Raw genomic sequence first — 24,540 nt, 5'->3', positions numbered from 1 at the left:
TAATATGTTTGCAAAGGGCTTTCATACACATTAGCCAATGCTAACCTCACAACAGTCTTATAAGGCAGGCAAAGCAGGGAAAGTGACCTCCACCTCACATCTGAAGACACTGAGGCTCAGGGAGGTGATGAAACCAATGCAAGGTCACGTAAACATTATCTGGCAGCACTCAGGTTAGAAACTTGGTAAGAGCCAGGAGGAAGTAGGACAGCATTGTTGGAAAGAGAAAACATAGCTGCAGAAGTTTAATGTTTATGTATCTGAAATTAACCATATACTAATAACCAAGATTTATTCACAGCTTACTATTTGCCAAACATTGTTCCAAGCACTTTGCATGTATTATCTCATCTGACCTTCACAAAAATCCTATGATACACCCCAGAAGCAAATTACTATCTCTGTTTTACATTTGAAAAATCCAAGGCACTGCAAGGGTAAGCAGGTTGCCTGAGGCACACAGCTATAAAGTGACAGAGGTGATACTGAGATTTGAATCCAGAGGTCATTTTTAACAACGACCCCCTAATACCCTAAAGCTTCCATGCAGAGACTGGTAAATCCTGAACTCTAAGGTGAAGCTTTCATCAACTGGGCATTGGACTAGATGACATCTAATATCCCTTCAACTCCTGAGATCTAGGACACAACACTTTTATTGTCTAAGAAAGAAATAAAATATTGTCTGAGTCTCTGAAAATGATACCTAAAGTGGACTTTGGAGAAACCAAGATGCTACCTCCTGCTTAAAATAGACATGAAGTAGTCATGAAAGTGTGTACTGATTTCAGTAAAGCATGTGACAAGAATATCGCGTACAATATTTTTACAGACAAAATACAGAAATGTCAGTAGGCTAAAGCACAGTTCAGAATACTTGAGAAAAGCTGAACGGTCAACGCACACTGACTAATACACTGATGATAAGCAGAAAGAGGGTCCCTGATTCTAAATATATTTTTTATCAATTACTCAAATGAAAGCATTAAGTATTTGCTTATAAATCTGCAGATGACATAGCACTTAGGGTGGGGAGCTCACTCATGAAACAGCAAAGTCCATAGACAGTGCGGTGTAGAAATCACTTAAACTTTGGATTCGGACCACTTGTTCAAGCTCACCGGTGGTGACCTTGGGCAAGTGATTTAATCTTCTTTAGCTTCAGCTTCCCCATATTTAAAATGTGGATAATACACTTGTTTGAAGTAGAGCCTGAAATTTGGTAGATGCTCAATGAATGTTAGTTCTTTGTTCTCAGTTGAAAAGGATCTCTGCAGGATAAACATTGGAGCAAAAGCAAGGAGATAAAATATACTTGATATAAACATAGAGTCCTGAATCTAGATTCAAAAATTAAACTGAATGAGAACAGAGTGAGAGAAAACTAACTCTGTCATCAATTCATATAAAAAAAAAGATTCAGAGATTTTAGCTGACTATCTCAAGTCAGAAACGGAATGCCACTTCTTTAAAAAAAAAAAAAAACACCACTTTAAAAAGTATTTTAATTCAAACTAATGTGTTAAATGCTGATGTTAATAAGCATTGCCTTATTATCTGGTAATTAGATAACGTCCCCCCTCCCTTGCAGGGATTTTAAACCAATACTAAAATTATGTGGTATGTGATACAACAAAGTAATAAATAAAGTGCCCTATGAGAGCCCAAAGGAGGAAGCTGGTCTTATTCGGCCAAGAGAAATCAAGGAAGGCTTCACAGAGGAAGTGACCTCTGAGTACAATCTTAAAGCCAGACTCATTCTAGGTGGAAAAGCAGCAAGTGCAAAGGCACGGAGGCCTGGAAGAGGATGGTGCCTTCAGGGATCAGCAGCCACTGAAGCAGCTGGAGAGACAGTGATTACAGTGGTCAAGGAAAGCTGGCGCAATGTGCAGAGTGGCTCATGAGAAGCCCTGCATACCAAGCCAAGGAGACCCTGCCCAGTTACAAGGCTAACAAATGACAGAACCAAAGGGGAGCTTAAGCTTTCTGACTCATCATGTATTCCCTCTGCTTGTGCCATCCTGTACAGTAGCCACTAGCCATATGTGGCTATTTAAACTTAACTAAAATTAAGTCAGTAAAATTTAAAATTTAGTTCTCAGTCGCATTAGCCACATATCAAGTCCTTAAGGGCCACATGTGCCAAGAGCCATGTCTATCATCACCAAAAATCCACCAACTGTGCTGTTCAATGCCATAGTATTGTCAAGTGAAAGGAAGTAGACTGAGTCTATATTGTTTTACAAAACAGAAAACAGGAAGGGAAAGAACAAATGGAAGCTATAAGGAGGAATATTTCCACTTCCTATATCTTAAGTTTTTTAACAACAGAAGAGCACCCTGTCACTGGAGGTATTCCAGCTTGACAGTCGTCTTTCACAGTGATGTAGAAAGAGTTTCTGTATTGAATTCATGCCCTTTGGTTAGAATGTTTGTGTTCTTTCATAGCAGCCTGGCTGACAGCCCAGTGCAACCGTATCTCTCTAGTTCCTTCATATAAAGTTCCTGTCGTACTTGCTCATAAAGGCTTTGATATTTGGTTGAGAATCACTACTCCTGATAGCCCAGCATCCCAACATCCCAAATTGTGGGAATTTTTTAACATGATAGATGTTTTTAAATTGTGATTCATAGACCTCTAAAATTGAATGCAAAATTGTATGTGTATTTTTCAGGAGAGACAGGTCTATAGCATCAACCAGATGTCAGTAGGATTTGTGATCCCAGTATAGAAAGCAAATGAACAAACACTGTACTAGAGGGACTTAATGGTCCCAACACTCCAAAAAGAGTCATCTAGATGCCATCTAGACACTTACTGAGGTCATCTAGACACTTACTCAGGTCACTACTCAGACATTTATTCAGGTCATACTCTGAAGTTCCATAGAGTTTCAAACTGACCCTGAAGAACCTAAAGACCATCACCCTACAACAGAATCATTTTAGAGCTCAACATCTCCTGACCTTCAGGAAGGAGGGAAGTGGGAGTAAAAAAGAGCAGGAAAATAAGCCCAAGGCATAAAAGTTGGATAACTCAGAGTCAGGTTGGGGAAGGTATCATCTGACAACCTCTTGCTGAGATGCTTATTGAAAGCTCTCTTGGAAATCTTGGTGGTTCATTTTCAGTGTTAGCCTACAGAAACAAACACACCCAGTTAGATGTGATACCAGCTTACCAGCTGGGGAACTTGCCCAGTAAATCTAAAGCCTGCTGAGCTATTAGTCCATTTTTGAAATAATGACTTTGTTCTAAATATCACCTGATACATGACAATTGCACCAGGATTCACCTCCAGCTCCTATAATATTTCTAGAACTAAAAGGTCTGATTTCTAGAACAACATACCAATTCCTCTGTCATCTGGTACAGCTGGAGAAGAACACTTTGGTTAATTGAACAAAAAAAGTGGTAATGAGCTACTTATATAATCAATATGAATTATAAATCACACAAAGCTCAAAATACAATGAAGTGCACACACCATTGGAACTGTGTTGAATATAATACAATGAATGCTCTTCAGAAAGCACTCCAACATTCTGTGGTACCTAGGGGGTCACCATTACAAATCTCAATTGTCATTATACTATATGCCAATTAATAAAGAGTTCCATGTAACAAAATGCCAGATAACAAATACCCTGGTTTTTGTTTTGTTTTGTTTTGTTTTGTTTTCCGTGAGAAAGCCTGCATCAAGTAATACAGAAACTGAAAGAATCCTGAGGAAAATTATGAAGTAGCTAAATCTTGTCTTTTACAGCCTCCCAATTCCCATGTGATGATCCTTCACTCCCCTCCCAGCCATCCACTGCCCTCACACCACCTCCTGGCAACCTCCTGTCCCCTCCCTGGGGCTACACCTGGTCTTACAGGTCCTGGTCAGGGCAATATGAGGCACTTTGTTGATGCTTGTTAACTCAATAGTAGCCAATTTGGGTATAAATCATCCAACAAAAGTTTACTGAATGCTCACCATGTGCCAGCATGTGCTAGGTGCTGGAATTAAATGGGTGCATGTCCCTTCTCAGAAGAGCCTGCTCTCAGTGATAAGTCCTGAAAGAACAAGATAAACTAACTCAAAGTTGATAATGACATATATTTTGCTTAATATGTCCCTGGTCTCAAGGTCATCAGCATTTTGTTAGAGAAGTCTCAAAGCCTCCTCACTATCCAAACCCAAAGCATAAGCTTTTGTTAGCAGCAGGGCTTTAGCTGGTAAATGAGAGAGATTTGGGATGAGGAAATGCATCAGCAATTTGTAAGACTGGCCTTCTAGAAAGGCATTGCCAGGCAGATAACAAAACCATGTACAGCAATGGTTCTCAAAGCATGATGTCCAAGACCAGCAGCATGAATATCACCTGGGAAATTGTGACCAACAAAAATTCTCCAGCCCTACTTCAGACCTACTGAACCAGAAACTCTGGGAGTGGGGGGTAGTAATCTGTATTTTAACAAGCCCTCCAGGTGATTCTGAGACACAGGTTGACAGCCAGTAGTGTAGATGAAACGGGCAGACCGCCTATGTCTGACATCAACACAAAGGAACTAAATGAGGAATTAGCCTTGATGTTGATGGAAATCATCTGCTGAAAGGAATGGTCGCTGATAGAAAAGCAGCAAAACAGTTCCCAGGAGAACACAGCTGGAAATTGCCAGGACGTTAGTGAGTGACTGTTGAAAATCCATTTCATGCTTTTTGGCTCTGACCAGTCCCATGAGACAATGGTGTGGAAATTGAGAAAGAGGCACAGAAAGTTTGAAAAACTTCCAACCTACAGCAAAGCTGAAGGCTGAGAAAGGCTCGAGAGTATTAATTTTCCTCCTAGTGCTGGTTTTCAGAGCCTCCGCTCTGGATCCAGAAGGCCACGCACGATGTCCTGCATCTCAGCAATGATGCCATAATAGACTGAGTATCATCAAGGCTCCACCCATGATCTACACCAGAGCACTTCTTCCTTTCCCCTCTAGCCTGCTACCTACCATCCAGCTACATCCTTTTTAATCCCTCCCCCAAAGGGAAGAAAGATGACACCCCCCTTTAATGACACAAGTCTTTGGAAAGCTCAGGCATATATCTGAAGGAGGCTTTCCAAATTCTCCAGAGATGAAGAGAACCGATGCAGCCCAAATGCAGCAAAAATGCAGCAAAAGACAAAATGCAGCACACACACAAAAATATAGCCTCAAGATTATGCAGAGTTGCAACAGTGATTCAAATCAACCACCCACAGGCAAAAAAAAAAAAAAAAAACATGCTTGGCACAGGTGCCAGGCAGGGCCTCTCTCTGAAGCCTCACGTGGCTGGAGCGTGGCTGGAGCCTAGCTGGGCATAGCATTCCCAAGCCCCACCCACCTGCTTCTGGGATTAACTACTGCTTTACAAATGGGTCTATTTGAGGCTCCTTTTTTTTTTTTTAATAAGTAAGAGGATTAAGGGTGGAACTATCTAGTCCTACAAATTTGGAGCTCAAGATACAATAAAGGAAGCTCCTAAGAAGTACCCACTGCTCTGGGAGGTGGCAGGGAGGATCTCTTGGATAACCGACACATTTTAAAGTCATTCATTGCTGTTCCCCTTAATCTGGCCCATCTTCACCTTATAAGAACACATCTTCTAGCTGCTCCCTGCTTTCCAGAGATGAGGACACTGGGGCTCGTCAAGCTTTATAAGGAAACATATTTGGGGTGCTCAGTGAGCAAAGATACACCATAAACATCTCTCTGCAATAACCTTAACACTAAGAAACCACGAGGTTGGGGGAGTCTAAAAACTTTGTGCTATACCTTCTGTCCTTAATTAAGATTGATGCTGGAAACATGACTGATGGGTGAACCCACACGTGCATCCTCTCTGTGCATGTTTAGAAGGCTTGGGAAAAGTAACATTGATCCAAGCCCCTCATGTTTCTATCCCTCTGTGGAAGGGACTGCTTTAGAAGCCACATCGTGGTGGTGGTAGTGGTGGCGGAGTGTTAGACACTAATTTCCATGCCTGGTCCCCATAACTACCCCTGCTCCCTGTAATTCCTGTAAAAATTCACACTGGAATTTGAAAAGAAATGGTTACAGAGGACTGTTCCTTAGCCTAGTCGTTCAGCATTTATCAGTGTGAAAACCCAAGATGATGAGAGGATTCAGAGTGACACGTACCTTCCACTTAACCACAGTCTCTGAGTAGAAAAGGCTAGTAGTTGCATATTTTGGGGGCACTCAAATGTAACAGGGCTGGGTAGGAGGCAGTCATCATAAAAATGACAAGAAAAAGCAGGTTACAAGATTTCTCCCCAGCTTCCTTTCTGTTGTGTGACAGTCCCACTGCAGAAAACAAAGGTCTTAGAGAAAAAGTAGATTCCTGAAGTTGGTCCTCTGTGAGAGACCTTAATAATCCTACCCAAGAGGAAGACAAATAACCTTCCTTTTCTGAAAATCCTAGGAAAAACCCACACATATAATGAATTATTCACAAAGGCTGAACCTAAAAATGAGAGAGGGAGAAATATAGAAAGATGAAAAGACGGGCAGAAAGAGAAAGTAAAGACCTGGTCTCTCTCTCTCTCTGAATAAATGGATATTAATTAGAGTTGCATTTAGGTTTCCTCTTTTATGTCTTTGTGGTCAGTGATAAGCAAAATAAGATCAGCAGAGTCACCATTGATGGACTGGATTGCACATCTGGGCTTTGGTGTTTGGTGAGCTGTAGCTTTCCAGGCAGCCCTGTGCATGACGTAAGGGAGGTGGCTGACCTGCTCATCAAACACATGGAGTCAAGGGTTTGCAAGAGTTCTGAGAGCTTAGCAAAGCTTCACTCAGTTTTATTTTCACTAAGAATATGAAGATTGAAAGAAACCAGATGTTCCTATAAAGAAGGGGGAAAGCAGCAGAATTTGAGGGGGAAAAACACCTACATTTTGTACAGCAGTGCTATAAAGAGATAAGTAATTTTGGATGGAGCTAATAATTTCAGAGTCTGGATGTTTCAGAAGAAAAAAAAAGCAGGCCTGTTCTCATTACTTTCCTCTTCCTCCTTTAATTCATAGCATGCACTGCGCCTATTGCAGAAAAAGCAAGTGGAGGGAAGTGGAGAAATAATGACATGCAAACCAACAGACAAAACTATCACATTGAGGATATTTTTGTCTCTATCCTCAAGTCATTTCATTTCTGTCAAATTCCTTCACTCCAACTCATTTTTCAGGCTTCATCCCAATTATAAATGGTCCCCACAACAAGTCATGGCCTGGTTTCCACATGAAACATTACCCACACTTCATATCAAAAGCAAAGCCAACAGGCAATTCAGAGATTGTCCTGGGATGCTCAGAAAATGAAGAACTTTCTCCTACAGCTCCAGTACCAGCTGCAGTCACTATCTGTTTCACCATCTGCATCCACGCACAGGTACACAGAAGATATGAACCCCTCTGCATTATCTGATCATAGGATATAATTACAGACTTCATCCTTGTTAGCTGCCATCATCTTCCCTAATCAAGGCATCTTGACTCATGATTCACTAGTTACATCAAACCTGAAATTCTTACCGGGACCTCAGTCTACTATCCTGCAATGTGCTATACATTTATAGGCAACAAAAGCAGAAGAAAAGAAGACACCAAAATGGGAGATTTAAGAACTAAAACTTTTGGTAACCCTCACCAAAATCCTCCAAAATAAACGGACATTTTACAATGGGAGATTCACAGTAGTAAAGCATACAACCTCTGATCCATAGCCAGAGTGCTTTGGGGATACAGTGAAATTCTCTACAATAAGAAATCATGGATTAATGTCCACAGGTTCATTGTGATGAGCTTCATTATCTCAGGGCTGCAAACATATTTGACCTTCCTACTGTAAGCCATATTCATTTCCACACGAAGCATGTTCTCCCCTGCTGAGACAACCAAGGCGATGGAGGTGTGGGGGGAATATCCTATTGCCCAACTCTGGCATAGAGTCTCCAAGCCAGACACACTACTTCTTGCCTTCACACCCGTGACCTGGAAAAGTTCAAACAAGTGTGGGGCATCCTGCAAACCACATGAGAGATGCTGTATGGCCCACAGGGTAACTGGCCCTGGGCATGAAACAGTGAGAGCTGGTAAGCATGAGGCACGGTGAACATGGGAGGGCACTCAGAACAGCCAACTGCCAGAGAAGATCTATTAGATGAGCAAAAAAGAAAATGAAAACGAGGAATCGTATAGAATGTAACATCACATTTTAAATCACATTAGCATTTTTAAAAAGAGTATGGTATCCACTGCAGAGGAAAGTGCCATAAGAAAATAAAATTATCTCCCTATGCAGATGTAGCTTCCAAGAAAAATGAAACACATTCAGAGTAGGCTGTTGACTTGCCACCATCTTTCATGCCAAATCTGGGTTATCTTGAGCATTTCTTCCCATAAGAACTAGACCTCCCCTATTAATAACTGGATAAGATTACCCTCCCCCTCCAAGTCGGGGTGATCCTAGAAGCATAAATTAAACCATTCCTTTTACTTAACCAATCTTTTCAGACAAACATGATTAAAGACCAGTAATGCACAGCATGATGAGACCACTAATGCGGCACATAGAAGTGTACATTATCCCCCTCGTCCTACAGTGACTTTCTGCAGCCAATGAAAGTGTAAGTCTCAAAACGTGTTGTAACACAAACAAAATCCTCAAGCATGCTAAATGTGCAAATGTCAATATGAAAGCAGGTCTTGACATGTTTTCTGAACAACTGAACAACCTTCCTTTCTTAAAAAAAAAAAAAAAAATCTGGCACTTACAAAGAGCAAAGAAGTACTTCCTAAACTTTAATGAGCATATTAATCACACAGGGATCTCATTACAATGCAGATTCTGATTCAGCAGGATTGAAGTGGGGCCCAGGATTCTGAATTTTTAGCAAGCTCCCAGGTGATGTGGATGCAGCTCCTTGCTCTCTTTGAGAGGCAAGAATCTAGAGGACTTCACCTGAACTAAGACCCCTCCCCACTTCAGGCACGCTGAAATTTCTGAAAGATGCCATTAATAATAACAACTAGTGATTACTGGGTAATTAGATAATGTTTTAGGCATGTGATATATATTAAGTCATTTAATTCTCCCAGTATTATTATTATTATCCTCATTTAACAGGTAAGAAGACTGAGTCACAGAGTAATGAAGTAATTTTCAAGGTCAGAAAGCTGGTGAAGGAACTAGGATTTCAACCCAGGCAGCCTAGCTCCAAAGCTTTATGGGCAACCACTACCCAGACTGACTCCCAATAAGACAAAGCAAGATACTTGGGAAGTTATTTGTTTAGAAAGGAAAGGAAGGTGAGACTAGGAATTTAGGTGCGTTTCCCACGGAAGCCCAATGTTTCCACGTGGTCACCACCAGAGGGAATATATTAGTCAATTACATTGTACATGGTGTATTTTATATTTTCCAACAGGGCTCCACTAAACACCTTAGCAGATGTTCCCTGAACACTGTTACCACAGCCTACATGCTGTAGAACCACTGTGAAATTTCCAACTATGCAGACAAAAGAGACCATTGGGACAGGGCTCGGGGCCAAGGCACTGAGCATGATGCTGAAATCAACTCCCTCGAGAGTCTCCCGTTTGACTCTCTTTGGTCCATTTTTGGCCAAAGACAAGGAAAGGGAGGAGTAAGACTCACAGCCGCACCTTGCGCGCTCGCAACGCCTGGTGGAAAGGCGGTGTCTTTGCAGCGGAAGAGAAAACGTGAAAAAAGGTGACCACGTGGTGTAGGAAACGTGCCTGGTTTCTCAGCTCCAAGGCTGGGCCCGGCCAGAAGTACCCGAGGTGCTGAACCCGGGTAACTGGGGAGCCCCGGGCCGCCGGGAGTTTCAGCGGCGCTGTCCGAGGTGCCAACGATGGCTGCTGGCACACTTTGCCACCCGCGGGGCGGTTGGGCGGCTTTGTCTACCGCAAAGAAACGGGAGGGCGCCTGTCTGAATAAACACGCCCCTAAGAGAGGGGCACAGCAAGGCAGCACCTGGTGGATGGGAAGATTTAGAGAACCGTAGAAGCCGAGTGAGAAAGGAGGGCCCAGCTGGGAAATCCGTAGACTGCCTAGAGGAATATTTGCAGCCGCAGCACACAACACAATGAGATCTGTCCGCTTTGTGCAGCGCACCGGCAGGCGTGACTGCAGGGACCCGACCCCTCCCCCGCCCGAAACCTCCACCCTAGCTAGATACGTTCAACTCAGGCAATGGATGGCCTGGGATCACTCTGTGAGAGTGGAGCAGGGGAGCGGGATGCAGAGAGGAGAGAGGGAGAAGCCCAGCCGGGGTTGCTGTGGGAGGATGCGAACAGCAGCAGGAAGAATATCTGCTTAGAGATGCTCCTTCGTTTCTAATGAGGGGGTGCTGCCTAGAAGCACCACGCGCCAGCCAATCACCGAGCTGCTGAGGCAGGGAACTAGAGAAGAAGGGGAAGGCCAGAGACTGGGGTTGGGGGAGTAGGGAGATGCCCAGGCCCTGGGGGAAATGAGCCGCGTGTCTGGCTAATACTAGAGACCCAAGGCAGCTCCAGCTGCCTCACTGCTGCACACCTGGACGGTGGGGGTGGGAAAGAGGGAGAATAGGGGAGAAAAGAAGGGGCCTCCATTGCAGATGCATCCCTCCCAAATCTCCCTCCCAAAGTCCCATGTCTCCAACCCCATCCCCATATTTAACGCCAGACCACTAGCTTGCCTCCTACTAATCCCCTTCACTGCCTCACCACCCCCAATTCCCAATGGCCTTGCCAGGCGTCCAATCCTTAGTGAAGAACAAGGCAGTGAGCTGCCTAATCAGCAGTCTGCATTTGGTGCACTTGATTAAACCTGCAAAGAAGCTCCTTCCATGCCTGTTCACCCTGACACCACCACCATCAGAGATGGCCCCCACCAGTGCTTTGGGGAGAGCAGTTCCTTTGGAGCTAGGGAGAGAGAGACTGCATGCACACCTCTGGCCTCAGCGGATGAATTCAGGCCCAGCCGATCCACCTGGATCCTGGATACTGGGAGAGCAATCAGCTGGGTCAAGCACTAAGAAGCAAGAGTACCCAACCAAGGACCAAGGACAGGATGGGCCTGATGAGCTGCTCTTTCTTGGCTGAGAGGAGAACTCCAAGTTTGAGCTCCTTGGGCTGTGGCAACAGAGATCACCTCCCCTGACAGACACTCACTCATGCCACTTTCAGTGGAACTTAAACTTAAGTCCCTAGAGTTAGCTGAGTCCCCACCCAAAAGCCTGTTTTATTTATTCATTTGTCTATCTGTACACAGGGTTTTGGCCCTGGGAACTTCTGAACTGATAAATCCCCTCATGGAGCCTTGACTTCCCTACAGGAAGACAGTGCGGTGTCTCCTGGTTGGTGGGGATACGGGCAGAGTGGCTGGCTTAAAGAAAGGAAAATGAGAATTAATTATGAAAGGAAGCATTGGGGCAACCCAATCTATGTAGAGGGCGGCATGTGAAGGGAGTAGGGGTGGGGAGGGGGCTGGGAATCAGACAAAGCCCAGCCCAGAAAGGGATGCACCCAGGGACACTAAAGATTTCCACATAGGAAAAATAAAAAACCAAAAGTCTTACCTTGAAAAACACTAGTGCCCAAACGGGTCTCCACGGCACCAAGCTTGCCCCTTAGATGCACCGAAGAGTGTGCTTCAGCAAAGGGGCAAATTGGCACCAGGAAGGGGTGGGGGATACATTCCATGCTAGGTACCCCCCTTCACCCGAAGAAATGCAAAGGGGGAGAGGGAGTTATGGTGGGCAAGAAAGGATATGGCCAATCGATGAGCTTCTTGGCATATTTCCTGACAATGTTATCTTCTCCGAAGATGAACAGGGATCTGTTGACGGTGAAACAGTTCTGCCGGACGGGAATGGGGTTGTACAAAGCCATAGTCCGCGCCCTCTGTGCTTTCGTCTGCTTGTAGGCGGCCGCCTGCCCCGAGGCCGGCACGGGGGTTCCTTGCCGGTTCCTGCTCTGGTCCGAGTCTCCATCGCCGGACCCTGGCCTGGCGACCACCGCCTCCCCGAAGCGAGCCATCCTGAGGTTTAAACAGACAGAAGACACACAAAGGTGATCGCGGCCGAACACCCGCACACAGCAACAAGCAGAAAGACACACGGAGACTCAGAGCCGCATCCAGACAAGCACGGGGACCACCGCCTCTGGGGAGCTCCGCGAGCTCTTCGGAGAGGCAGCAGCAGCAGCCCGCCGCTGTGAACTGTTGAATCTAAATGCAACCTCTGCGAAGCTCCATTCCTCAAGAAGGAAAAAAAAAAAAAAGAAAAAAGAAAAAAAAAGCGGGTGGTAGGGCTTGGGGGTGCCCAGTTTCTGGAGGAAAATATTTTTTTCAAAATGCCAGTGTGTGGTGGTGTTCAGGGACCAGAGAGGAGAGGGGTGGAGTAGGCTGCTCTTCAAACATAGCTCCTCTTCTGGCAGACGCACCACCTAGTTCAGGGAGAGAGGCAGGCACCGGCCCGCTAGGTAACAGTTTGGTGATTTATTGGTTGGGGGAAGGGGTGGGAAGGAGGGGAAAATGAAAACAAAAGAACTTTAAAAAAAAATAAACAAAGACGAGGACGGGGTTACGATGACATGCTTTATAACGCCAGCCCCTGCAAGTCCATCTAAGAAATTCCACCGCGAAGACTTGGGTCTTTATATCTGCCAGCAGAGACGCATCCAAAGGTTGGAGAAAGAGGGAGGGAGGTGGGGAGAGCGATATTGAGGTTCCTGCGTAAACCGCAATGCCCAAAATCTCAAAATAAGAAGTCGATCCAAGCGAAAAGGGACAAATGACTTCAAAGCTCCTGCGCTTGGGCTAGAAGTTGAGCAGCATCCAGAGAGCAGCGAAGCCTGAGTGCCAGCATCCGCCCGGAGCGCTCGCCACCGCCGCCTCCCCGGATCAGCATGCAACAGCGATCCGCGGCTGCGCCGCCGAGAGGGCGGGAGTGCGAGCGGGCGGGCGGCGAGCACCGGCGGGCGAGGAACAGGTTGCAGCCGAGCCTCGCGGCGGCCTGGCACCACACTTGTCCACAGACCGAACTTCCTCACTAACGGCTCAGTCTCCCTCTTCCCCGCAGGCAGCGCCCTCGGCGGAGCACTGGAGAAGATGCGGAAGGAGAATGGGGAGGCGAGGCAGAGGACAGCGAGCGGCGCGCAGAGGCGCAGCGAGGCGCGCAAGAGCGCTGGGAGAAGCGGGGGAGGAGCTGGCCAGGCGGGAGGGGCGGGGACGCAGCCGGAAGGCTGGAGGTTCCTGGAAGGTGAGGCTGGCTTGCCTTCTTGATTTATGTGGCCAAAGGGTAGCAGCCACCTCTGCAAAGGTCCAGTGAAGAGTCCCCTTTCCCCCAAGTAATGCCGAGAAGAGAGAGGCAGGTGCAGCCAGCGATGCGGCGGAGTCTCCGCAAGAGAGCGAGGGCCTGGCGTGGGGCGCACACGCACGCGCGTCTTGGGTCCCTGCAGAGAGGTGTCCCCAGTGCTGTGCCCTGTTCGGTGCCGGGAGCGGTGCCACGGGCCCGCCGCCGCCCTAGTAAGGTGTCGGGGCCTTTGCGCGCCTAGCGCCATGGCCGCGTCGCCGCTCCTCCGCACCTCCCAGGCTCCACGAACACGGCCAGGCATTTCCAAGTAGAGGGCAGAACCCTCTCCCCATCTCCCCACTTAGCACCTGGGAGGCCCCGTGGAGGAGGCTAGGACCTCTGGGGGTTCCACACTCTGCTGGTGGTGCTGGCTCCTGGCGGGAGCTTCTGCCCTCACGGGGCGGCCTCCCGGTTCCGCTGTAGGAAAGCCCTGCCCGACGTCTCCTGGAAGGGCCCTCCATGGTGAGTTATGGGCTAAAACTACCCTTCTCGAAATGCGAACAATCAGAAGGATCCTCCCGCCCCCCATCCTTTACTCCCAAATAAGCTCCACGGACTTTCTCAAACCCAACCCATTAATGTAGAAAAAAAAAAAAATAGAATTGGTATCTGAGCTGCAGAGGTGGGAAAGGTGGACTCCAAGCCCCAGGGAAAGAGCTCCTGTTTAGCCGCCAAGCCCTTCCCCACAGGTGACTGGTGGTTTGAACTGAGGGCAGGGACCAGCTGTCCCCTCCCATGTCCACACTAGCTGGGGCACACCGTCTTCTGTGTTTTCCTGCCTTGGCTCAACACATAGGCCTCTCCAAATCCTTCCAACCCGAACAATGGAAGGGAAGAAGGAAAGGAGGGGCTGAGGAAGGAAACAGACACTGACCAAAGCCCAGAGGTTGGAAACCATGGGTGAGTATGGCTTCACGCCTGTGAAGTGAGATTAACTGTTGAGAAGTGAGGTGATGTCTGAGTGCATGGCATGTGTGTTTCTACGGGTATGTGTCTGTCTGTGGGCAAGGCCCTGTGAGCACTGACATGTGTCTGTTGTGTGAGAATGTATGTGAGAGTGTGTGTGTGTGTGTGTGTGTGTGTGTGTGTGTGTAGGAAAATTCTCTACTGGAAATCCAAAGGAATGGTCTCAACATGTCCAGCCTGCTGCCCTTGGGGAAGGCATTTGACCTTTGGATTCAGGGGAGCCCATTTCAGGTGAAATTACTATTCAAGGTGAGTCAGCTGTAATTGTTACTTTGATTTCACATTACTGCCTTACTCTGTCCTTCCTCCTGCTTTAATCAGAGGGTCCTCTTCTGTCTGAATACCTAGTCAGTCGTGAAACGGAGGGAGGGTGGTGCTGTGAACCATGAAGTCCCATCAGCCAGTCACTTAGAACTAGTCCCAAGTGGCTATCTCGGTATCCCTGTAAACTACATAGGGTTAGAAAAAGGGCTTTCAGAAATTATTAAGTGTATGTCGCTCCTTTCAGACAGTACCATAATCCATAGCACAAAATTCATTCAAATCATTAGAGAAGTATCTTTGAGTCCCTTCCAGGTGCCAGGCACTGTTTTAGGCACTGAGGATACTATAATGAACAAGATGGGTGATGACATAAATCATGTAGCTTTTTACACTAGATTATACTAGATTGTATAACCTTGCAGGCCAGAAAGCTTCATGAACTTCACTCTCATGCTGTCACCTCACCCCTTTCCTTTGTGGTTCTGCCTCAGCAGGCTGGCGGCATACCTTCTCAATGCCCAGAATAAGCAGGGCTCACTAGCCTTTTACTTCCCAGACTTAGTTCTTGGAACATCAGAGATCCCCGACTTGTCTCTTCAGTGTTATCAGATGTCAGCAGAGATCCAGTATTCCACGTCCTGTATTCTCTTTGGCTGTTGTAATTCTTCAGAGACCTAGAATACTCAAGATGGGATACTACATGTGCAAATGCGACGACACACTGGAGTTGATATCTGCCTTCTTGCCTTCCAAGGAGACAGGAATCATAAATGCATAGGTTGGGAATTAATGTGGAATACCTTAGGGAGTTTCAGCACCTATGTGAGTTAAAAGGGATAATTCTTGGAGGGTGCAGCCAAAAAGGAAAGGGGCAAACATAATGGCATAAATGGCTTTGTGAAGAGACTTGGCCTAAGGGCAGCAGTGCTAGCAGGAAGACAGACTCTCATCTTCCACCCCCACCTGGCTGTCATAGCTCTTGAGAGCTTTGAGATCTATGAATTTCTATACTGGTTTCATACTCTCTAATCCCCCATTCTACCAGCCCCCAAGGCAGCTACAGTTGTTGTTTTTATTTTTTTTTATAGAGACGACGGTCTCACTATGTTGTCCTAGCTGGCAACTCCTAGGCTCAAGCAATCCACCTGCCTCAGCCTCCCAAAGTGCTAGCATGAGCCATTGCGCCCCGCCAGTGGCTACAATTTTAATGGTTGAATAATACATGTGTTTAATAGTTTTCAGTTTACATAAGCCCCACAGCTGAGCCTGACTCCAAACTTCTGAGGTGAGCCTGGTAACACATGTATCACGACCCTTGACAGACAAAGCAGCAGAGTTTCAGCAACGTTAAGCCGTTTGCCCACATCTGATAAGCGGCAGAGTGTGGACTTCTAACACATCTGACTTCCAATCTGCGGCTCTTTCTAAAACCCATGCTGCCCTTCAGGACAGCAATAGGGTAATTCTAAATTGTTTATCAAGAGAAGAAACTATACAATGACACTAAGCCTATGGAAATGCTATGCTTACCATCCTCAAATTGAATTTGATCAGAGGCCAAGTGTTCCTGGCACCATGCCCTCAATATCCAGGAGGATCCTCAGAAAAAGTTCATGACCAGAATACTGTAGTCATGCGGTATTGCATGACTTCATATGGGAATTTCTTCATATGGGAATTTGGTGGGCATTCTCCTTCCAGTGCCCCGAGTTCCACTGTCCTATTAAGGATCCACAAATGGAAATGTGGAAAATTAGCAATTAGTCATAACTCTGATTGGAAACCAGTCTGAAGACCATCTGAAAATCCCTTTCCAGTCTCAGAGGGACAGTAACTGTATTTTCCTGTTGTCAGAGCACCATCTACTGGTCACTGAGCACGAGTGCTTGGCAGCCCAGCACCCCATGCACCATGCCTCAGAGCTTAGATATTCCTAGGCTCTGACCTCTTGTCAACAGCCCTCTACTCCCCTATGGGACTTTGTTGAGGTACTAAATTTCACCACAATGCAGCCAGCCCATCTCACAGTAGTTGGAAAGTGCAGCCCCACACACACCCTCCCAAGTTAAGATGGGGTTACCAAATGCTCCACATGTTTTTCTGAAAGCAATGACCTGCAAAGTGGAAACCCAACAGGAGCTAAGGAAGCAAGTGGAAAACTTTCCTACTTTATAAAGCCCATGAAGACTATTACATTTCAAAGCATTTATCCTGCAGCCCCTCTACTGCAGTGTATCATCGAGCTGCAATCAGGTGTGAAGGGGACTGGTAGGTAGTCCCTCCAGCCTCTTCTGGAAAAGGCAGAAAACAAGGTGTCCACACTGCCCCAGATCAGGCAGCCTGTGGGAGTTTGTACTAAGACAGATGGACATGAGTGGCAAAGTTGGAGAAGCAGTTGGCCTATTACCCTCATTCTTAAGCTCTTCCCAGATCTGTCAGGCCTTGGGCCATCTTCATAAGAGATTTTTCACCCATCACTGAGAAGTCTGTGAATGTGGGCTTCATCCAAATGGCCTGTGCCCCTCCCACCAGGCCTGCTCCTTCATCTTCCCCCACCCTGCCAGTTACACTCAGATAGCTTATGCTTAAGTTATCAGAGCCCCTTTTGTTCTATTTTTCCTCCGTTGAGCTTTTCCAAGAAATAGACTCTTATGCAAAGCAGTGCTCTAAGGAACATAATGCAGAGAGGATTTGGGAGTGGGTTCTTAAGAAAAAAGTTGGCAGGAGACCATGTGCAAATGCATAGTGGAGCAGAGGAGCATTATGGCAATGCAGACATCTTGGGAGTCTGGTGGCTTTCACAATACCTCACAGCCCTTACTTGGGTGAAAACATAACTTCACATCCTTATGTAATGTCCGTCCCTAGAATCAGCATCTCTCAAACCTAAGCCTGAGAAGCCCCACACTCCAACATGCTATCAGCTAACCACAGGTCAGCAAAGTTGGTTTTAAAGTGTTTTAAAAACCATTCATTTATGACAACCCATCACTTCCTGGGTGCCAACCGTAATGTTTTCTCATTGCATCTTTGCAGAAGGACTGTGAGGCACATCCTGTTATCTGAACACCCAGAGAGTCAGGGACTTGTCCAAGTGCACAGAGCTAGGAAATAGCAGAGCTGGATCTCCTAATAATAAGGACAGGATTCTTCACAATATGTGACCATTATTAACATACTGCATGTCAAAATAATATTTTCCTTGCTTAAGAGTCAAGTTATAGGCAGGATCTTGAGCTTTAGAGAGGTAAGGCATGACCTTGAACCAGAGAGTCTCCCAGAGGGTTTAATTGTTAAGAATAATACCATTCTGCTCCACTGGGCTGTTGTGAAAATTAAGTTAGTTTATATGCATAAAGCTCTTAGATCAGTACCTTGCACACAATAAGTATGTGCTACGTAAGTACTTGTTATGTACATTTCACCTTCAGTAGCTGTGACCACGGTAACACACTGGAAACACTGCATGTCTACAGACTCTGTTTCTGAAAGCCAACTTCAGAAGTGCAGCCAGGGATGAACACACTCTGTTGTGCGGGGGATGGACAGAGGAGCAGAGACATGTAAGTGCCTGAGATCAGGTCAGAAAGAGGAATGGAGGAAAAAAGGAAAAAAAAATAGTAGAGACCAGTGTCTGGAGACCCAAAGGCCATGATACCTGAGAGAGCTGTGTGTTTGTTTACTTATTCATGAATTCATAAACCCATTTAACAAATACTCATTAATCCCCTTTGATGAGCCACACATTGTTCTCAGGGATTCTGGGGCTCAGAGATAAATTAGACACAGTCATAGCCTCTAAAAACTTACAGTTCAAAAGAGGAGAAGGGAAAACATACCCACAAAGGGCTCGAATACAAGGCGGGATGTGGAGTGCACCACAGGAGAGTACTGGGAGACAACAGAGCAGGGAGCCATCCCCTCCCACTGGAGGCAGCTGGAAAAGGGAAGAATACAAAAGAGATCTCTTTGAAGAGCTAGTTTATTGGAGGCATGGAGCAGCAGCCTGCAGCATGAATGTTTAGGATGTTTTGGGGGGTGGGGAGGGGGGCAGTACACAAGATGCATGGAGTTAATTAGTAAATCAGCATTTTTATTTTCTTTCAATGTATCTAGGATCACGAAGATTATAGCATTACCACTTCAAGCCTTTCTTTCCCATAAGATGAGGTCACCTTTCAGCCCAGAGAAAAGCCAAAAATATGCTTACCCTAATAGATATTAAGCTTTATTGGGAAAGTTGATTTGGAGGTTCGGAGTTTAGCCCCAGACAGCAAAGGATCCCATGCCCATCACTGTCTACCTCCCTTCCCACCCTCAGGGCCCAACCTTGCTGCTCAGCCAAGGCAAAGTGCAGCAGGAGGACTCAGCAGCGCCCCAGCTCCCACTGATGGGGGTGAGCAGAGGGTGAGAACAACCGGCAGGAGCACATCCATCCATCCACCCCCACGGCCTCTTGACTCAGAAAACACAACACAGCCCACACCTTGCAAAGCTCGTTCAGCCCGGGTGGGCTCAGGCCGATTGGTTCATTTAGCAGACATGCAGTGAGCACCTTCCACGTGTCAGGTATCATGTCAGGGGCTAGCCCAAAGGAGGCAGTGCCTAGGAGAAGGTGCCCAGGTTGGATTCGTGTCTTGCCTGGTCTTGATCCACTCCCTACATTTCACTCTTGAAGATAATGCCGCAGTAACAGAAAATGCAGCTCACAGCTGCAGTCAAGCCTAAAGGGGCCCTGAAGGCCCAGAGAAAGAGAATAAGATTCCACTGCACCCACCAATCCTGCCTCTCCAAGAACCCTTTGTGTTGGAATCATCAGCAGATTAAGCCACCACCTGTCCATCACCACACCCTCTCTCTCCCACTCTCTCCTACACTGAGCAGCTGGTTACACCCACCTAGTATAAAATAATCAAAGGGAAGAAGGCATTCCCATATGATATGGACTTAAGGCCAGTTTTGAAATATATACCTGGGCAGGCCATTTACTAGCTCTGCCCCTTCCACTCCACAGAAATTGCTCTAAGACTACCACTGAACCCCTGATGGTCCCTTTTTTTACCCTCCTACTTGACCACTCTGCAGCATTTGACACCACTGACCTCCCCCTCTCCTCAGAGGTCATCGTTCTTGGCATCCCAGCCACCACATCTCCCAGTTTCTCACCGTTTCCTTCTCTTCCTCTTACTGCTCTCACCTGTAGGGCACCCATGGGTCTGTCCCCAACCCCTTTCCTCTGTCTGACTTCTCTCCCTTCAAGATTATATCCTTACCTGCCATTTCAACTACCCCCTCCACACCACATCTAGCTCCTAGACCTCACCTTTCGCCTCATTTCCAGACCCAGGTGTCCAATGAAGTTAGGGGTAGCTGCATATGGATTGTCCCTCATCCCCAGACTCAATATGTGTAAAAGTGACGTCATTGTAAATCCTTCAAAGCAAGCTCCCCCTCCCAAAATGCCAGTTGCTATGCATGTTACATTGTCATCACTTCGGTGGCTCCCCACTGCCTATAAAATGGCCAGACACCTTAGCCTGACAATTCAAGGCAATCAGAATTCAACCTATCTTTCCAACACTATCTCCTCACGTACCATAGTATGAGGTACATAAACAAACGTGTCATGCCCATTCCTGCCTCAAAGCCCTGCTCACAGCGCCTGCTTCACACTGCCCCAAAAATATTCTTCCTCTTTTCTGCTTCTCCCACTCCTAGGCATCCTTCTATGCATGGTCCAGTTCAAATCTGCTCTCCCACAAAGCCTTTCATAATCTCTCCAACACTGACCTGTACCTCCTATAAACTCACAGAATTTCTGTATCGTTCATAGTACTGTTTTATCACTGATATTGTCATAACTGTAACTTTGCCATTATATTCATATTTAGTTTTTCAATTATGTATGCCTTGTCTCCTCAACTATGGTGTAAGCTTCTCAGGAGTAGAGGACATATCTTTCTCTTTGTTCTTTTACCTAGAGTGCCTGCATTATGTTATCCTCATAGCAAGCCTTTGCAAAATAAATTGTCACTGAATGCATGGATCTCCTGCAACTGTTATTGGTGAAAAAGAGCTTGGGCATCAATCAGGTATCTGGGCCCTGTCTGAGGAGCTACCCTTCCCCTAACACATTCTAGCTCTGACTAGAAGCCTCTCTCTGCTGCCAGGTGTTCCCAGCTGTTTCTTGTGAGTTGAGTGGACATCAACCCAGATGATATAAACAGGAATAAATATATATCAAAAAGGGGTATTTACTTCCCTTGTAGGAAATTAAGTGCCTCTAACTCAGGGGTAACTTCTCCAGCACACTAACTGCCCAAGCACCATCTTATCAATCATTAAACAATAGGGTTCATTGTCTTATGAGGAATATTTCTTGCTCTTAGAAACGGAGTTGAAATAAGATCTGGGGAATCAGTTATTAAAAGGAAACAGCTCCCCACCTAAAGAATATTTTGAGATCCCTTTCCACAGAAAATTAAACATAAGATAATAAAGTCCTGCTTCAAAAAAAACCCATATCAACTACAGTATTAATTCGTTCTATCTCTTCTTTACAAAAAGGCAAATGTCATCATGCCTATTTCTCTTATGAAGAATTACATATGAAAATGACACACACGTTTGCAAAGACATGCACTAGATTCTGATGTGATCTCACGTTCTGCCAGCCAAGTGTACAAACATGCAGGTTATCTTCCCATGCTACGGGAAGTTTTCAGACAGGCTTAATACAGTACATTCAAATGTGAAGAATTACAGGCTCTTTTGCAGGTTTCTGAATATTCCTAATGTGCAGTTTACAAATTGGAAAGGTGGAAATGTAATTCTCAATCAAGAGAGAATTTCTGAAATCCTCCTAACACCACTGACAAGCCAACTCCTTGGACACACACATATACATGCACTCAAGATTTAGCTTTTTCCTTTAAAGGCTTGTATTTTTTCACAAAACCACCCCATCACTGGATCATATTTTTCAATAATATTCTTCCATATGTAGTCAAGTATTAATAGAATAATTCAAAGTTTCCAGTTATGCTACTTTCCTTTGTTTAAATAATCTCTATTTTCATATTGCAAATTCTGGAGCTGTAAAAAAAAGAAAAATGGACATGGATCAAACAAATAAAGAATAATTACAAAGAAAAGTATAGGTGATGCTGTTTATAATATTATTTGTCCTAGGTATTAAATACTTACAATGTGCAAGGCTCCATGCTAACCAGATTCACTTTCCTTATTTCTCAAAATAAGCCCATGTGGCAAGTGCTATTATAAACCCCATTTTACAGGAAGAGAAGCAAGACTGAAAGGAACTAAGTAACTTCCCTGATGGTCACATAGGTGGTGGGTGACATAGCAAAAGATCAATCCTAGGTCACCCTGACTTCAAAACCCATTATCTTAGCCACTTTAATTCATCTCGCTGATATCATTAATAGAAATTTGAGCTAGAGAATAGAGATTTCATGATGATTCTACAGTTCCAAGAGGCAAGAATATATCCAGACTCTACAGATGGTGCCGAAGGGCCTCAGAATAAATGAGTTATCAGGGTGGAAACAACACCAGGAGGCTTGCACCTCAGTCCTGGTTGGGTTTATATCCTTACATGCAAAAATGGCAAAAGTAGTACCTGCCCTCTGAATCGCATGGGGCTACTGATAAACCAAATGTGATGATACATTCGTAGCCCAACCTGCTCCTCCTACTGCTGCTGTCATTTTGCATTGCAATATCCCAGAGCAACAGGAGTCAGATCAAGAACTGAGTGCTAATTCAAAAATTATTTCAACCCTTCAAAACTCTCAAAATTCAAAGGGTATGCTATTGCCCATAATTTATGCATAATTAGCATGGTTTTACACCATTTACTTGTTTTTCAATGAATGGCTAAGTCTATCCAAAATGTCCCAACCCTGAGCTCCCTGGTAGGCCAGCCTCAGTTAGCTATCTGCAAAAGGTATCAGCCAAACTCTGGAGAGGTCAGTAAGGGAGTTCAGGGAGCAAGGGGGAAGGATAGTTGTTCAGTCATAGAAAACAAGGGTCTGCTGCACCGGCGATACAAATACTATGCGGTGTTCAGCAAATCAAAGGGTAGCACTGTTCCTACCATTCAGGAACATCGATCCTGATCATTAGTTCTGGCTTTAATTTTTTTTCACAAATACTTCTGCTGCCAGCCCATGCCACTAAAGGACTCAGCGAATTTAAATCCTCCTGCATCTCAACTAGTTTTCCTGCCTGCACTCCAGCAGGTAAAACACCCACAGACTCACAGTGCTCTGGGCTGTAGAATTCACAGGAGTCTATAATGTTCAGGTTATTTTTAAACTTTCAGGCCACTCTCCCTCCCCATGAACAGCAGGCCTGCCATTTAGAACGGTGTTTAACCCACACCCCACCTGCTTTGAAACTTCAGCTTTTTGTGTTAAAAGAAGCAATACCTCAAGTGCGCGCGCACACACACGCACGCGTGCATCTAAAACCTGAAGACAGTCACCAGCTCACTGGGGCTGAAAGACCCAGCTCACAGAATGATGTTGAGATGGTAGAGATGTGTATTAAAATGCTTTGTAAACTCGGTGTCATGCCACTGTAGGTGGTATTACTATTATATTTACAGGTACAGATACCAGGCATTATAGGTGATGTCAAAAGACAACTTCCTTTTTTAAAAAATAAATTTTATTGTGTACATTTGAGATTTACAACAGGATGTTATCGGATACATATAGATAGTAAGATGGTTACTACAGTGAAGAAGATTAACATCCATTATCTCACATAGTTACTTTTTTTGTAACAAGAGCAGCTGATATCTACTTATTTAACACAAGTCTCTAATACAATACAATTTTATTAATTTTATTCCACATGCCCCACATTAGATCTCTAGACTCATTCATCCTACATACCTACTTTGTATCCTTTGACCTACGTCTCCCTACTTCCTCCTCCAGTCCCCACCCCCCACCCACTGGTGCTAACCACTGTTTCATTCCCTTTTTCATTCTACATATGTGAGATCATGCTGTGTGTATTTCACTTAGCATAATGTCCTCCAGGTCCATCCATGTTGGGGCAAATGGCAGGATCTACTTCTTTTTTACAGCAGAATAAAAATCCATTGTGTGTGTGTGTCTACATACACCACATTTTCTTTATCCATTCATCCATCGATGAACATTTTGTTTTTTCCATATCCTAGTTATTGTAAATAATGCTGCAATGAACATGAGGGTGCAGATACCTTTATGAGGTGGTGATATCAGAAAAGGGATTACTTTCACTGAGGGTGAAAGACCCAGTTTACAGAATGATACTGAGATTGTTGATATGTATGAAAATTCTTTGTAAACACAGAGTGTCACACCACTGTGGGTGGTATTATTGTTATATTTGCAGGGACAGACACCAGGCATTATAGATGATGTAAAAAAACAAACTTATTTCCAAAAGGGAATTATATCACTATAATCAAAGCATTCACGGCCCTTTATTTCCCCAAGAGCCGCACAGAAGTTGGCTAAGAGGTGTTAGGTTATAATTTTCTTCAAATTAATTACATTTTTTTCTTAATTGAAAAACATTGGGAGAAAAGGGAAAGAAATTCTGAAAGCAACTCAACCAAAAGAGTATTAAGTTAAAAAAAAAATCAAAGAAACTCTTCAAAGCAGCAACAGTAACCAACATCTGTGGAAGGCTGAAGCACTATATATGTGTTGCCTCGTTGATCTGCACAAGAATCCTACAACATAGGTATGGTTAGCTTCAACCATTTCCCAAATAAGGCGAATAAAGATCAGAGAAACTAAGTTCCTACACTAAGATCACACAGAACTACACTTGGAGCCTGGGCCTGCCAAATGCCAGAGACTACATCTTACTACTGCCCTTTGCTATGGTTTGAATGTTTGCATCACCTTCA

The 24,540-nt window shown here is 45.1% G+C and overlaps 1 protein-coding gene across 14 annotated transcripts in view, besides 7 other annotated features; it reads right to left on the bottom strand.

Moving 5' to 3' along the window:
* The window catches only part of CACNA1E (calcium voltage-gated channel subunit alpha1 E), a 490,386-nt gene that overhangs the window by 312,283 nt on the left and 153,563 nt on the right, over positions 1–24,540 (bottom strand). For 11 of the 14 annotated variants that reach the window (XM_017002244.2, XM_017002243.2, XM_017002249.2 and 8 more), the window contains exon 3: positions 11,792–12,058. In XM_017002244.2, coding sequence (XP_016857733.1) covers positions 11,792–12,058 — 267 coding nt within the window. Of the gene's footprint in view, positions 1–11,791; positions 12,286–24,540 lie in introns of those variants that run through there. The other 3 variants (NM_001205293.3, NM_000721.4, NM_001205294.2) reach the window with 1 other exon arrangement.
* Positions 10,438–10,567: an enhancer, noted in NCBI's record as "active region_2190". NCBI's record gives its function as "activates an Ori minimal core promoter by ATAC-STARR-seq in GM12878 lymphoblastoid cells {active_cell/tissue: GM12878}" and the evidence as "EXISTENCE:reporter gene assay evidence [ECO:0000049][PMID:35858748]".
* Positions 11,530–12,053: an enhancer, noted in NCBI's record as "H3K4me1 hESC enhancer chr1:181452885-181453408 (GRCh37/hg19 assembly coordinates)". NCBI's record gives its function as "activates a minimal SCP1, AML or CMV promoter by ChIP-STARR-seq in primed H9 embryonic stem cells {active_cell/tissue: H9 hESC(primed)}" and the evidence as "EXISTENCE:reporter gene assay evidence [ECO:0000049][PMID:30033119]".
* Positions 12,054–12,578: an enhancer, noted in NCBI's record as "H3K4me1 hESC enhancer chr1:181452360-181452884 (GRCh37/hg19 assembly coordinates)". NCBI's record gives its function as "activates a minimal SCP1, AML or CMV promoter by ChIP-STARR-seq in primed H9 embryonic stem cells {active_cell/tissue: H9 hESC(primed)}" and the evidence as "EXISTENCE:reporter gene assay evidence [ECO:0000049][PMID:30033119]".
* Positions 12,931–13,060: a silencer, noted in NCBI's record as "silent region_1613". NCBI's record gives its function as "represses an Ori minimal core promoter by ATAC-STARR-seq in GM12878 lymphoblastoid cells {active_cell/tissue: GM12878}" and the evidence as "EXISTENCE:reporter gene assay evidence [ECO:0000049][PMID:35858748]".
* Positions 13,101–13,230: a silencer, noted in NCBI's record as "silent region_1612". NCBI's record gives its function as "represses an Ori minimal core promoter by ATAC-STARR-seq in GM12878 lymphoblastoid cells {active_cell/tissue: GM12878}" and the evidence as "EXISTENCE:reporter gene assay evidence [ECO:0000049][PMID:35858748]".
* Positions 13,381–13,510: an enhancer, noted in NCBI's record as "active region_2189". NCBI's record gives its function as "activates an Ori minimal core promoter by ATAC-STARR-seq in GM12878 lymphoblastoid cells {active_cell/tissue: GM12878}" and the evidence as "EXISTENCE:reporter gene assay evidence [ECO:0000049][PMID:35858748]".
* Positions 13,562–14,094: an enhancer, noted in NCBI's record as "H3K4me1 hESC enhancer chr1:181450844-181451376 (GRCh37/hg19 assembly coordinates)". NCBI's record gives its function as "activates a minimal SCP1, AML or CMV promoter by ChIP-STARR-seq in naive H9 embryonic stem cells {active_cell/tissue: H9 hESC(naive)}" and the evidence as "EXISTENCE:reporter gene assay evidence [ECO:0000049][PMID:30033119]".

The sequence above is a fragment of the Homo sapiens genome, chromosome 1 (genome assembly GCF_000001405.40).
Source record: "Homo sapiens chromosome 1, GRCh38.p14 Primary Assembly".
NCBI lineage: Eukaryota > Metazoa > Chordata > Mammalia > Primates > Hominidae > Homo > Homo sapiens.
The sequence above is the reverse complement of the archived record's forward strand: the minus strand, read 5'-3'. Positions and strand labels throughout refer to the sequence as shown.